The sequence below is a fragment of the Homo sapiens genome, chromosome 12, assembly GCF_000001405.40.
Source record: "Homo sapiens chromosome 12, GRCh38.p14 Primary Assembly".
Taxonomy (NCBI): Eukaryota; Metazoa; Chordata; class Mammalia; order Primates; family Hominidae; genus Homo; species Homo sapiens.
The window spans coordinates 120,963,146-120,978,542 of record NC_000012.12 but is presented as its reverse complement, the minus strand read 5'-3'; the positions used below and the strand labels follow the sequence as shown (position 1 = coordinate 120,978,542).

General features: G+C 48.0%; 1 long non-coding RNA gene across 1 annotated transcript, besides 1 other annotated feature; it reads left to right on the top strand.

Moving 5' to 3' along the window:
- Positions 5,131-5,658: an enhancer, noted in NCBI's record as "NANOG-H3K27ac hESC enhancer chr12:121410688-121411215 (GRCh37/hg19 assembly coordinates)". NCBI's record gives its function as "activates a minimal SCP1, AML or CMV promoter by ChIP-STARR-seq in primed H9 embryonic stem cells {active_cell/tissue: H9 hESC(primed)}" and the evidence as "EXISTENCE:reporter gene assay evidence [ECO:0000049][PMID:30033119]".
- HNF1A-AS1 (HNF1A antisense RNA 1) lies at positions 6,251-8,705 on the top strand. The gene has a single exon (NR_024345.1). It is a non-coding gene; the product is annotated as an HNF1A antisense RNA 1 (long non-coding RNA).
- Positions 8,706-15,397: the final 6,692 nt, after the last annotated feature.

The window sequence follows — 15,397 nt, the reverse complement described above, 5'->3', positions numbered from 1 at the left end:
GGGGAAATTCTCCAAGGTTCATATTTATCCGTGTGCTTAGCGAAGGGACTGAACTTTGGACTTCAGCCCTGCAAAGTGCAGGCCTCATGGCAGCGGAGAGGGACAGGGAGCTATGGCCTGCGATGGGAGTGGGCAGAGGGGAGGGTGGGGGAGGCGCAGGTGAGGGGCCCTGAGCAGCTGGGATGGAAGGTGCTGGGAGCCAGGGAGGCCATCAGGAGAGCAGCGTTGGGTCCCACCCCCGAAAGAACCTTGTAGGGGCATCATGCTGAGACAGGAGAGCCAAAAATGCTTGCTGCTTACGAGAGCGGCAGCAGCAGGGAGCTCTAGACAGCTGGGCTAGCTCTTCTCAAGGGCAGAGGATGCTCACGGCCATTTTGGGGCCCTTCCATCCATTTTGGGACCCTTCCACCCCACTCCCGGCCTGACACCAGGCCTCCCTGTAGGAAAAAATATGTTAAGATTACCATGTGCCAAGAACAGTGCTGGCTCTGTGAGGGCGAATTCACTTCATTGCATTCTGCTACCAACTGTGAGCAGTTACAGAGATTATCCCCATTTTATAGAGGAGGAAATCGAGGCTCTGAGCGGTTAAGTAACTTGTCCAGGGTCATACAGCCAGCAAGGCAGAAAACATGCAAGGTGAGACTGAGTTGGGATGAGTGTGACACTTGCCTCAGGTGCAAATTTATTTTTTTATTTTTTGAGCTATGTTCTCACTTTGTCACCCAGGCTGGAGTGCTGTGGCGCGATCATGGCTTACTGCAGCCTTGACTTCCTGGGTTCAGGTGATCCTCCCGCCTCAGCCACCCAAGTACCCAAGTAGCTGGCACTACAGGCACGCACCACGACACCCAGCTGATTTTGTGTGTGTGTGTTGTGTGTGTTTGGGTTGTGTGTGTGTGTGTTTTTGAGACAGAGTCTCACTCTGTCACCCAGGCTTGGAGTGCAGTGGAGCAATCTTGGCTCACTGCAACCTCCGCCTCCCAGGTTCAAGCGATTCCCCTGCCTCAGCCTCCGGAGTAGCTGGGATTACAGGCACATACCACTACACCCGGCTAATTTTTTTGTATTCTTTATTGAGTTGGGGTTTCACCATGTTGGCCAGGCTGGTCTTGAACTCTTGACCTCAAGTGATTCGTCCGCCTCGGCCTCCCAAAGTGCTGGGATTACAGGTGTGAGCCACTGTGCCCGGCCTTGTGTGTGTATTTTTTGTGGAGACAGGGTCTTGCCATGCTGCCCAGGTTGGTCTCAAACTCCTGGACTCAAGCCATCCGCCCACCTCAGCCTCCCAAAGTGTTAGGATTACAGGCGTGCGCCACCATGCCTGGCAGCCCAGGTGCAAATTTTAAGGGAATGCCAAAAAACCCAGTCATCAAGGTAAATAACATTTTTATGCAATATGTTTTTAAAATTAAAATGAATGCAAAACCCCAAAGAATTAAAAACAGATGTCTATACAAAAACTTGTGCGTGAATGCTCATAGCAGCATTATTCACAAGAGCCAAAAAGTGGAAAAAACATAAATATTCATCACCTGATGAATATATAAACAAAATATGGCTTGACCATGCAATGGTATAGACATATATATTTTTTTCTTTCTTTTTTTTTTTTTTTGAGATGGGGGTCTCGCTCTGTTGCCCAGGCTGGAGTGCAGTGGTGCAATCTTGGCTCACTGCAACCTCCGCCTCCCGGGTTCAAGCAATTCTCCTGCCTGAGCCTCCCGAGTATCTGGAACTACAGGTATGTACCACCACGCCCAGCTAATTTTTGTATTTTTGGTAGAGATGGGGTTTTACCATGTTGGCCAGACTAGTCTCGAACTCCTGACCTTAGGTGATGCCCTCGCCTTGGCCCCCCAAAGTGCTGGGATTACAGGCATGAGCCACCGCATCCAGCCAATGCAATGGTATATTATTTGGTCATATAAAGGAATGGAGTTCCAGTACATGCCACAACATGCATGAGCCTTGAAAACATGATGCTAAGTGAAAAAGTGGTCACTAAAGACTACATAGTGTGTGAGTCCATTTATCTGAAATGTCCAGAACAGGCAAATCCATAGAGACAGGAAGTGGATTTGTGGTTGTCAGGGCCTGGGTGGGAGAAGGGAATGGGGAGTGGCCACTCCATGGTGCTGGGTTTCTTTAGGATGATAAAAATGTTCTACAATTGATTGTGGTGATATCGGACAACTCTGTGACTTTATTAAAACCCAATGAATTGCACATTTTAAAAGGGCGAGTTTGATGGTATGTAAATCAATAAAAATATTGTTGTAGCTTTATTGAGATATACTTACCATACAATTCACCCATTTCATGTGTGCAATTCTGATTTTTTTTTTCATTTTTATTTATTTTTATTTTTTGAGACAGGGTTTGGCTCTGTTGCCCAAGCTAGAGTGCAATGGCATGATCTGGGCTCACTGCAACCTCCGCCTCCTGGGCTCAAATCATCCTTCTACCTCAGCCTCCCGAGTAGCTGGGACTACAGGTGTGCACCACTGCACCCAGCTAATTTTTTTTTTTTTTTTTTTTGTATTTTTGGTAGAGACGGAGTTTCACCATGTTGCCCAGGCTGGTCTCAAACTCCTGGACTCAAGAGATCCTCCCATCTCAGCCCCACAAAGTGCTGGGATTACAGGTGTGAGCCACCATGCCCGGCCTCAAAAAATATTTTTTAACTAATGTAAAATAATCTGTGCTGAACAAAATAGCAAACATCTAAATACAGGCCCTGTGGCCAGGCACAGTGGCTCATGCCTGTAATCCCAGTACTTTGGGAGGCCGAGGTGGGTGGATCACCTGAGGTCAGGAATTTGAGACCAGCCTGGCTAACATGATGAAACCCCATTTCTACTAAAAATTTAAAAAGCTGGGCATGGTGATGCACGCAGGAGGCTGAGACAGGAGAATCACTTGAACCCAGGAGGCGGAGGTTGCAGTGAGCCGAGATCACGCCATTGCACTCCAGTTTGGGCAACAAGAGCAAAACTCTGTCTCAAAAAAAAAAAAAAAAAAAAAAACAGGCCCTGCCCTCACCCACCAGCCACATGTGGCTACCAAGCACTTGAAAGATGGCTAATGTCACTTCTTGAAATGATAATTTTTAAAAAATATATTGAGTTAAATTTTTAAATTAAGAAAATTTTGGCCGGGCGTGGTGGCTAACGCCTGTAATCCCAGCACTTTTGGGAGGCCAAGGTGGGTAGATCACCTGAGGTCAGGAGTTCGAGACCACCCTGACCAATATGGTGAAACCCCATCTGTAATAAAAATACAAAAATTAACCTCAGGAGGCTGAGGCAGGAAAATCACTTGAACCTGGGAGGCGGAGGTGGCAGTGAACCAAGATCATGCCACTGCACTCTGGCCTGGGTGATACAGCAAGACACTGTCTCAAAAAAAAAAAAAAAAAAAAAAAAGACAATTTAAAAGTTAACATTTAGGCCGGGCGCGGTGGCTCACGCCTGTAATCTCAGCACTTTGGGAGGCCGAGGTGGGCGGATCACAAGGTCAGGAGATTGAGACCATCCTGCCTAACATGGTGAAACCCCGTCTCTACTAAAAATACAAGAAATTAGCCTGGCGTGGTGGCGGGCGCCTGTAGTCCCAGCTACTTAGGAGGCTGAGGCAGGAGAATGGCGTGAACCCAGGATGCGGAGCTTGCAGTGAGCCGAGATCGCGCCACTGTACTCCAGCCTGGGCGACAGAGCGAGACTCCCTCTCAAAAAAAAAAAAAAAAAAAAAAAGTTAACATTTAGAATAATTTTAAATTAGATTTAATTAAAATATTATTTATATATTATACAAATATAATGTTATATTTAGTTTAAAATAATTTGGTTTAAATTAAAATTTTATTTATAAAAATAACTTTTTATTTTAAAAATTAAAGAAAATAACTTCACCTGTTCCATTTTACTTTTTATTTTTTTAAGAGCCAGATTCTTACTCTGTCACCCAGGCTGGCATGATCATAGCTCACTTCAGCCTAGAACTCCTGGCTTCAAGCAATCCTCCCACCTCAGCATCCCAAGTAGCTGGAACTACAGGTACGCACCATCATGCCCAGCTTCATTTATATATTTATCTTTTTTGTTTGTTTTTTGAGACAGGGTCTCCTTCTGTCGCCCGAGCTGGAGTGCAGTGGCACAATCTTGGCAAACTGCAACCTATGCTTCTGGGGCTCCCGTGATCCTCCCACCTCAGCCTCTCCAATAGCTGGGACTACAAGCGTGTGCCACCATGCCTCGCTAATTTTTGTATTTTTTAGTAGAGACAAGAGTTTGCCACATTGCCCAGGCTGGTCTCAAACTCCTGAGCCCAAGCCATCTGCCCACCTCGTCCTCCCAAGGTGCTGGGATTACAGGGGTGAGCCACTGCACCCTGCCTATTTATTTACTTTTCTTAGAGATGGGGGTCTTGCTTTGTTGCCCAGGCTGGTCTCGAACTCCTGGGCTCAAGCAATCCTCTCACCTCAGCCTCCCAAAGTGTTGGGATTACAGGCATGAGCCATCTCACCTGGCCAGTAATGTATTTCACTCCAAGAACAACTCATGAATTAGGAACTGTTATAATCCCCCTTCTGCAGGGGAGGAAAGAGAGGCTCAGAGAGGTTAAATGACTGCTCAGAGTCCCTCAGAGCTGGGCTTTAAGTCCACCTGAGGCAGGCGGACGGGCTGTGCAGGACAAGTTGGCAGCCCCCGCCTTAAGGAGAGTGGTACCCTCTTTCCTCCAGTGCATTTATGTTTTATTTTTATTTTTGAGACAGAGCCTCACTTTGTCACCCAGGCTGGAGTACAGTGGTGCGATCTCAGCTCACTGTAACCTCTGCCTCCTGGGTTCGAGCAATCCTCCTACCTTAGCCTCCTGAGTAGCTGGGACTACAGGCACACACCACCATGCCTGGCTAATTTTTGTATTTTTGGTAGAGACAGGGTTTCACCATGTTTGCCAGGCTGGTCTCAAACTCCTGGCCTCAAAAGATCCACCCACCTCGGCCTCCCAAACTGTTGGGATTATAGGCGTGAGCCACCGTGCCCGGCCAAGTGCATTTTTTTGTAAACCCCCGTGCAAGTTGCTTTGAGGTTGAGCAGCTTACTGCTGGGGACAGCATTCTCAAGTCCAGGCTAAACAGGGAAGATGCTGTGTGCTGTCCCTTTGTGGCTTTGAGGTTCTCCTGCTTATTCTCTTTGCTGCCTGCAGCTGCCTCTTGGTGACTTTCCCTTTCCAGGGAGCCAGAGGAACCAAGGAGTGTTGGCCCTGACTCCTGCCCCCAGCATGTAAACTCATTAACTGCTGGGTCCTCAGGCAGTTAGGTGGCTGAGCATTTGAGTCTGGGACGGCAGGTGGATTTGGTTGGAGAGGGAATGACAGAGATTGGGGAGGAGCCTCCAGAGTCTAAAGAGATAGGTACACAAGCAGAAAGTTCCAGCCCCCAGCCTGCCTTTCCCCCATGCTCAGGGGACAAAGCTGAATTAACTCGAGGTCAGGAATGGCATTTGCATTTGCATTCTTGAGAGTCACTGCAAATAAGAGCTGTAGTCATGGTGAGTGGTTAAGGCAATGGACTAGAGAACCACTGAGAAAAAAAGCGAACAGTGGCTGGGCGCAGTGGCTCATGCCTGTCATCCCAGCACTTTGGGAGACCGAAGTGGGTGGATCACTTGAGGTCAGGAGTTCGAGACCAGCCTGGCCAACATGGTGAAAACCCGTCTCTACTAAAAATACAAAAATTAGCCAGGCTTGTCAGTGGGCACCTATAATCCCAGCTAGTCGGAAGGCTGAGGCAGGAGAATCACTTGAACCCAGAAGGCAGAGGTTGCAGTGAGCTGAGATCATGACACTGCACTCCAGCCTGGGTGACAGAGAGAAACTCCGTCTCAAAAAAAAAAGAAAAAGAAAAAAAAAAAAAGGAACAGCCGGACATGGTAGCTCATACCTGTAATCCCAGCGCTTTGGGAGACCGAGGCAGGTGGATCACCTGAGGTCAGGAGTTCCAGATCAGCCTGGCCAACATGGTAAAACCCCATCTCTACTAAAAATACAAAAATTAGCTGGATGTGGTGGCGCACACCTGTAGTCCCAGATACTCAGGAGGCTGAGGCAGGAGAATAGCTTGAACCCGGGAGGCGGAGGTTGCAGTGAGCAGAGATCACGCCACTGCACTCCAGCCTGGGCGATAGAGTAACAATCCGTCTCAAAAAAATCTGAAAATTAAAAATTAAAAAGTGAACAGTTGTTTAGTAAGTGCAGTAGGTAGGCCAAGATAACTATTAAGTATGTCCTAACAAGGTAGCTGCTTGAAAAAAATAATGCACATAAATTAAAAAAAAAAAAACTATTTTCACTCATTCTTAACTTCTCGTATGGATGTACTAACGGGAGGCCTGTGCCTGTTGGGCTGTCCACAGCTACTCAAACCTTGAGATTAGATTGGACGCTATCTAATCTCATTTCCTGTTACACAATAACTTCTGCATGGCACTTGCTTTTAATCATGACAACTGCCATACACTCAGCTTTACAAAATCATGTCATTGTGGAAAGGAAGTTCCCTCCATCTAACATTCAAATTTAACTATCCTGAGCTGGTAGTTTGCAAGGTGTCCAACAGATGTCACTGTGTTTCCTTCGCAAATTCTCTAAAATAGTCTGCTGTGTCCCGGGGCATAGTAGATATTCAAGAAATGGTGGCTATGAGTTTTATCACAATTCTCTCCTACTGGGTGAGCAGCTGTTTGCAAGACTAAAATTCGGGCGAGGCACAGGCTTCCCCTTGGTCTTAGCAGCTAGCACAAGACGAGTGTCCCTTCAGCCAGTCTCAGAGCTCTTTGGCAATTCAACTGACCCTTGTCCTTCAGTCCAGACAATGCCCCAGGGCCCACCTGCATTCAAACTCGGACTGTTCTCCTTCCCACCCCTATTATCTTTTCAACTTTATGGACAGTACATGCAATTTTCTCATTCATTTTCTCATTTAACATCTAACAGCTTCATGATATCCCCATTTTACAGATAAGGAAACCAAGGCTTTAAGAGGATAGGGACCCTAATCGGCTAAGGCAGAATTAGGATTTGAACCCAGATCCCCATGACGCCAGAATCTAAGCCTTGACCAAATATGTGTTACTATTACTTTTGTTGTTGTTGTTGTTCTGGGTAACTCCAACCCTCTGCTCGTTGGCCTTGTCACCTCAGTGCTGATTTTGCAGATGAAGAGACTAAGGTTCCGAGGTGCTAGAGCACAGTGGTTAGGAACACACACTCTAGAGCCAGAGTGCCTGGGTTTGAGCCTCGTTCTGCCGTTTACTAGCCGTATGGCCTTGGGCAACTTGCTTAACTTCTCTTTGCCTCAGTTCCTCTTCTCTTGGGTTGTTAGGAGAATGAATGAGGTGATATCCACAGTGTCCAACACCCTGCAAGCGGCCAGGTGTGGTGGATCACACCTGCAATCCCAGCACTTTGGGAGGCCGAGGCAGGTGGATCATTTGAGGTCAGGAGTTCGAGACCAGTCTGGCCAACATGGCGAAACCTCATTTCTACTAAAAATACAAAAATTAGCCGGGCGTGGTGGCAAACAACTGTAATCCGAGCTACTAGGGAGGCTGAGGCAGAAGAATCGCTTGAACCCAGGAGACAGAGGTTGCAGTGAGCCAAGATTGCACCACTGCACTCCAGCCTGGGCGACAGAGTGAGACCCTGCCTCAAAAACTAAAAATAAAAAATGAACAGTGTCCAACACCTTGAAAGCATTCCGCATGACTGAACGATCACTGTTACGTGATTACCAACATGACGACCCCACTTCTCTTGGCCAAACTGAGTTCTCTTCTCTTGTAAAAACTTCTGCATATGAAGTCACCCATTCCATTTGACTCTTTAGCCCTCATCCTGGCATTCAAGGGCATGGACGACTCAACCCCACTCTCTAGCCAGCCTGACCTCTCCATTCCCTTCTCTGGCGTAGAGGCCACTCCCACCACCTGCCCTTACCCCCTGCCCACTTTTGTCAGCCTGTACTGTGTTGAAGCTCCCAGGAGAGACAACTGCAGTCATCACTTTCCACTGTGTTCAGTGATGTCAGTTCGGCCCAGCTGGAGGTACTCACATCATGGAAACAGACCATCAGATTTGGTGTGTGTGTGTTTTATTTTGCTTTTTCAGAGAGCCAGCTGTTAAACACTAGCCAACACCCCATTGATGCTGTTCCTTCTACCTGAAACACCTCGCATTGCCGGTGAGCTCTAAAGACAAAAGGACCTGGGTCTGCATTTCCCAAAGGCAAGACTCTGGTATCACCTGCATATTATTTTCCCATATTTGAGCACCACTGCCTTTTGCATTATTTACTTAGCAGTTTTGCTCCTGTCAACTCACTTTTTTAAAACTAAACTTATTTTAAAAAGAAAAGTTTTGGCCGGGAGCGGTGGCTCATGCCTGTAATCCCAGCACTTTGGGAGGCCGAGGTGGGCAGATCACCTGAGGTCGGGAGTTCGAGACCAGCCTGACCAACATGGAGAAACTCCGTCTCTACTAAAAATACAAAATTAGCTGGGCGTGGTGGCGCATGCCTGTAATCCTAGCTACTCGGGAGGCTGTGGCAGGAGAATTGCTTGAACCCAGGAGGCGGGGGTTGCAGTGAGTCGAGATCGCCCCATTGTACTCCAGCCTGGGGAACAAGAACGAAACTCCGTCTCAAAAAAAAAAAAAAAAAAGAAAAAGAAAAGAAAAGCTTTATATAATTTTAATACTCAAAAAAACAGTATCCCGGCCAGGCACAGTGGCTCACACCTGTAATCCCAGCAATTTGGGAGGCCAGGCAGGAGGATCACTTGAGGCTAGGGGTTCAAGACCACTTGAGGCTAGGGCCAACATGGTGAGACCCCGTCTCTACTAAAAATACAAAAATTAGCCAGGCATAGTGGCACGTGCCTGTAATCCCAACTACTCGGGTGGCTGAGGAACAAAAATCACCTGAATCCAGGAGGCGGAGGTTGCTGCGAGCCGAGATCGTGCCACTGCACTTCAGCCTGGGTGACGGAGTGAGACTCTGTCTCAAAAAAAGAAAAAGAAAAAGAGTATCCCTTGCCATAAATAGCAAGCAGTCATTCAGACATGGAAATGAGGCATTCACACTTGTTCTTGTTTCACACTAAGGCCCTAAGCCTAAGGAGGGTTTCTCTATGTTGAAAGGAAATTAGGCAGTGTTCAGAGGGGTGTTAAAGATAGACTAGCAACTAATTGAAACTTTCTCCTCAATGTAAGCACTTTAGAAGGGACTGAAAAGAGAATGTTCTCCCTACATGTACCATATCACCTACAATTACCTCGTGTACCACTATTTTGCAAATAAATGCCAGAGGCAAGAGTACATTTTGATGCTTTAGCCTAGCACTCAAAGCCCTCCTCGATTTGAATCTTTCCAGCCTCATCTTGCACAGCCCCTCCATACCCAGACCTCACCCACTCTATTTGCCATCTCCAGAACATACCCCTAACTTTCTCACCTCTGTGCCTTTGTGCAAGCTGCTCCCTCTACCTGGAAACCTCCATTTGTCAAGCTGCTGCTGTCTTCAAGATCTACCTGGTCAGAATCTCCTGCTGTCCTCTTCTGCCACCCACAGCAATGTGAGCCTTCACTGGCTGGCCTTCCCTACTCACTGGAGCAGAGCTACGGCATCAGAATGCCCTGGAGCAGGGGTTAGAAACACAGATTTCTGAGTCTACACTCGAAGATTTTTTTTTCTTTCTTTCTTTTTTTTTGTTTTCCAATTTTTCTAATTTTAGAGATGGGGTCTCACCACGTTGCCCAGGCTGGTCTCAAGCTCCTGGACTCAGGTCATCCTACCACCTAGGCCTTCTAAAGTGTTAGGATGAGCCCTGAACCTTGTAACATGAACATTTATTAGTTATATCTGGAAAAAAATATAAAGTTATTTTTATTTGGGTGATACTGCCTTCAAAAAACAAAAACAAAAAAAAACAGGAGGCCGAGCACAGTGGCTCATGCCTGTAATCCCAGTGCTTTGGGAGGCTGAGGCAGGCGGATCACTTGAGACCAGGAGTTCAAGACCAGCCTGGCCAACATAGTGAAACCCCGCTTCTATTAAAAATACAAAAATGGGCCAGGCACGGTGGCTCATACCTGTAATCCCAGCACTTTGGGAGGCCGAGGCGAGTGAATCACGAGGTCAAGAGATCAAGACCATCCTGGTAAACATGGAGAAACCCTGTCTCTACTAAAAATACAAAAATTAGCTGGGCACGGTGTCACGTGCCTGTAGTCCCAGCTACTAGAGAAGCTGAGTCAGCGGAATCGCTTGAACCCAGGAGGTAGAGGTTGCAGTGAGCTGAGATTGCACCACTGCACTCCAGCCTGGGCGACAGAGTGAGACTCTGTCTCAAAAAAAAAAAAAAAAAAATTAGCCAAGTGTGGTGGCACATGCCTGTAATCCCAATTACTCGGGAGGCTGAGGCAGAAGAATTGCTTGAACCTGGGAGGTGGAGGTTTCAGTGAGCCAAGATCGCACCACTGCCCTCCAGCCTGGGCAATAGAGCAAGACTCCATCTCACAAAATAAAAAGCCAAAAAAAGCTCTCGACAGTTCTGTTCCCCGCCTGAGGTGTTTGTCTCAGGATCCCGGCCTGGCTGTGGGCCACAGATGGCAAAAACCAAGGTCCGTCTATTACTGGGCATCCAGGGTTTCATAATCTCTACGACCTCCATGCCTGGAACTCCACACATTGCGCATGCCCCAGAAACGCTTGCCCAACGGACCCCAATCCACCATTTCTGAATGCATTTTTCATGACTTGCTGAATGTGTCTTGTTAATCCAATTAGATTGTAAACTCCGGGAGTGCAGGGACAACGTTGACCTTCCTATTACTCCCCTCACCCCCGCCCAGCTCTGGGCTGGGCACACAGTGACCCTCAAGGGTAGCACAAAGACTTGAGGCAAGAAAAACACCTGTAGAAGGAAAAGGCTGGATACTGGGAGCGCCTCTGTCTGCTTTGCTGCCATCCTCTTCTTCAACAACAAAGGACACGCTAATTCTATGCAGCAAAAGTTTCCAAACACGTTAGCCTAAGAATTTCGAGTCATGCAAAAAATAAATTCCCAGAGTCACAGGGTTAAAAAAAATCAGATTCCAGGGCCCCATCCTTGTTGTTCCTGAGTCAGACTCCCCAGTCAAACTGCCAGAGAACCTCGTCTTTGAACAAACACTTCAGGCAACTTTCCCAGGATAAAGCAAGTTTCAGAAACTCTCACACAGCTTCTTAGGTATCTCAGATATGGCTCTTGCCCTCCAGATGTTTACAAATGAAAACAAGAAATCTGGTTCCAACAAGCAAAAGCCCAGAGAGACCTCAAACACAAAGATGCAAATCAAAATTAGTAGAGAAATAAATGAGCCGGGACGTTGTACTTCGGTCGCGGGGCTGGCTGAGGTCACTACCTGCACAGCCGACTGTTGGAAGTTCTGCGGTATACCAGCTGAATGGCCTTGAACAAGTCCCATCTCCACTCGGAGCCTCCGTTTCCGCATCTGTAGAATGGGGATATGTGGGCCTAACTCACAGCGTTGTGAGAATTCAACAAGAACACATCAAGCAGCTGTGAATGTAGCAAGCCGGCATTTGATTAAATGTTAGTTTTCGTCCTAAGAAAAATAGCTAATATTTCTGAGCACTTACGGCCGAGCCCTGAGCTAACATTTACTTCCTCCTTTAACTCCCACAACAACCCAATGAGGTAGGATCTATTATTATCCCCATTTCACAGATGCGGAAATTAAGACACAGAAAGGTTAAAAAAAAAACACGCACAGGCCAGGCGTGGTGGATCACCCCCTGTAATCTCAGCACTTTGGGAGGTGGAGCCTGGAGGATCGCTTGAGGCCAGGAGTTTGAGACTAGCCTGGGCAACATAGCAAGACCCTGTCTCTATAAAAAAAAATTTAAAGCTGAGTGCAGTGGCTCACGCCTGTAACCCCAACACTTTGAGAGGCTGAGGCAGGTGAACTCTTGAGCCCAGGAATTCAAGACCAAACTGGGCAGCATAGTGAGACCCTGTCTCTTAAAAAAAAAAAAATCAGCTGGGCGTGGTGGTGCATGCCTGTGATCCCAACTACTCGGGAGGCTGAGGTGGGAGGATCGCTTGAGCCCAGGAGTTTGAGGTCTCAGTGAGCTATGATTGTGCCATTGCGCTCCAGCCTGCACAACAGAGAAAGGTCTGTCTTAAAAAAAAAAAAAAAAAGAAAAGAAAGAAAAGAAAAAAGAACCCAACGTCTCCCAACCAGGAAATGGCAGAGCTGGGATTAGAGCCTAGAAAACCTATCCTGTAGCCCCAGGAGGAAATAGCCTCACGGGAGCAAAACCACCAGGTGTTTAGGACTCATGAAAATTATACATTGGCTTCTTTGGGAAAAGTGGCCCATTCAGCTGAGCAGGACCCAAAATAGCAAAAGGGCCAAGGACAGCCCGCCTGCCCTAGGTGTGGCCCCAGCCAGGATTCCTAGCCCTGCGAGTTTTCCCAGATTGGCCAACACACGTCTGAACCCCTGGGATCAGGAAGTGCCAATGCCTGGGTCTTGCTAAAGCCATTTACCGTCGACAGATATCCCACCGATGGCCAAGTGCCAGTTAGTCACGGCCTCAGTGCAGCACCTCATCCCTCCCAGAAAGCCATGGCTCTGGACTCCACCCACTGAAAACAGGGCTTTTGTGGGAATACAATGGGACAAGAAGAAAAACATGCTGAACCTGATCTCCATGGGACCTGATGTGGAGTCACGTTCATTCACATCACTGGCTTGCAGCCTCTCCACTCACAAGTTATTGATAATCGAAAAAATAAAACACCATGCGATCGTATTTCTGGGCAGATAGAATGCAAGAGCCTGGGGCACTGGTTGTTTCTGGGGAGGGGAAGGGAACCGAGAGACCCAAGAAGAGGGTGGACAAGCTAGGCACGGTGGCTCACCCCTGTAATCCCAGCATTTTGGGAGGCCAAGGCAGGCAGACACTTGAGGTCAGGAGTTCGAGATCACCCTGGCCAACATGGTGAAACCCTGTCTCTACTAAAAACATAAAAATTAGCCAGGCGTGGTGGCAGGTGCCTATAATCGCAGCCACTCAGGAGTCTGAGGCAGGGGAATCACTTGAACCTGGAGGCAGAGATTGCAGTAACCGGAGATCGTGCCATTGCATTCCATCCTGGGCGACAGAGCGAAACTCCGTCTCAAAGAAAAAAATAAAAGGACTATGAGTGGGAGCAGATGTAGGGAGATGCAAGGGACGGAGTATCAGGAGAACAGTACCTGTTCTGGGCTCTCCGCTAATCAAACCCAACCACCAGGCAGAGGCATGGGAGACCCCCACACACAGAGCAGGGTGGAGACAGGAGAAGCGATCGCAGAAGAGGCCAGACCACCACCCAATAGATGTGGGTAACTATTCAAAACTCAGATCATCTGAACAGAAAAAGGTAAATGCTATGAGCTAAAAACTTCAAGGTTCTTTGCATCAGTGCCCTTTTTTTTTTTTCCTGAAGTTATTTCAAGTTGGATTTCTACCACTTGCAAACCAAAGAGTCTTGCCGAACAGAGACGGAAACATGGAAGATTTCATTGAAGTGGAAACCTGGCATTGTAATTGCCCACTGCTTGTAAAATTCAGGCCAGTGTGGTGGCTCACGCCTGTAATCCCAACACTTCGGGAGGCTGAGGTGGGCAGATCGCCTGAGCCCAGAAGTTCAAGACCAGCCTGGGCAACATGGCAAGACCCTGTCTCTATAAAAAATTTTGGTTTAAAGCTAAGTGCAGTGGCTCACACCTGTAATGCCAACTCTTTGGGAGGCTGAAGCAGGTTAATTGCTTGAGCCCAGGAGGTCGAGACCAAACTGGGCAACATAGTGAGACCCCATCTCTAAAAAAAGAGAAGAAAAGAAAATCAGCAGGGAGTGTTGGCACATGCCAGTGGTCCCAGCTATTCAGGAGGCCGAGGTGGAAGAATCACCTGAACCCAGGAAGGTCAAGGCTGCAGCAAGCTGTGATAGTGCCACTGCACTCCAGCCTGGACAACAGAGCAAGACCCTGTCTCAAAATAAGTACATAGGCTGGGCGAGGTGGCTCATGCCTGTAATCCTAGCACTTTGGGAGGTCGAGGCGGGCAGATCATTTGGGGTAAGGAGTTCGAGACCAGTTTGGCCAACACGGTGAAACCCCGTCTCTACTAAAAATACAAAAAAAATTAGCTGGGTGTGGTGGCACATGCCTGTAATCCCAGCTACTTGGGGAGGCTGAGGCAGAAGAATTACTTGAACCTGGGAGACAGAGATCGCGTCACTGCACTCCAGCCTGGTTGACAGTGCGAGACTCTCAAAAAAAATTGGCCAGGCATAGTGGCTCACGCCTGTAATCCTAGCACTTTGGGAGGCCGAGGTGGGTGGATCACCTGAGGTCAGGAGTTCGAGACCAGCCTGGCCAACGTGGCGAAACCCCGTCTCTACTAAAAAATACAAAAATTAGCTGGGCATGGTGGCACATGCCTGTAATCCCAGCTACTTGCGAGGCTGAGGCTGGAGAATCACTTGAACCTGGGAGGCAGAGGTTGCAGTGAGCTGAGATCGCGCCACTGCACTACAGCCTGGGTGACAGAGTGAGACTCTGTCTCAAAAAAAAAAAAAATCAATTAATTTAGCTTAATTCAGCTGCTTCACCTTGGCCTACAAGGGGCTGGGCCACCCTGTCCAATCCATGATCACCTTTTTCCACTGTCCACCTGCAGTGCACAGCAAGTCGCCTACAGCTCCTCCCATACCCACAGCCCCTTCCTGCCTGGGACCTTCGCCCATGCTGTTCCTCCTGCCTGAACCCCTCTCCTAGCTCTTCCTCCCATCAGCACCTCATTGTCATCCCTTCCCTATCCTGTGGTCTGAATGTTTGTGTCCTCCCAAAGTTCATATGTGGAATCCTAGCCCCCCAGGTGGTGGTATTAAGAGGTGGGGACTTTGGGGGCAGGATTAGTTCCCTTATCAAAGAGGCCCAAGGGAGCTTGTTTGTCCCTTGCACCAGGTGAGGGCCCCGCAAGAAGGTGCCCTTGCTGGAGATCCCAGACTCTATGAGAAATATTGTTTATAAGTAACCCAGTTTATGTTTTTTTGGTTTTTTGGTTTTTTTTTTTCAAGGTGGAGTCTCGCTCTGTGGCCCAGGCAATCTCGGCTCACTACAACCTCCGCCTCCCAGGTTCAGGCGATTCTCCTTCCTCAGCCTTCTGAGTAGCTGGAATTACAGGCACCCGCCACCATACCCATCTAATTTTTGTATTTTTAGTAGAGACGAGGTTTCACCATGTTGGCCAGGCTGGTCTCGAACTCCTGGCCTCAA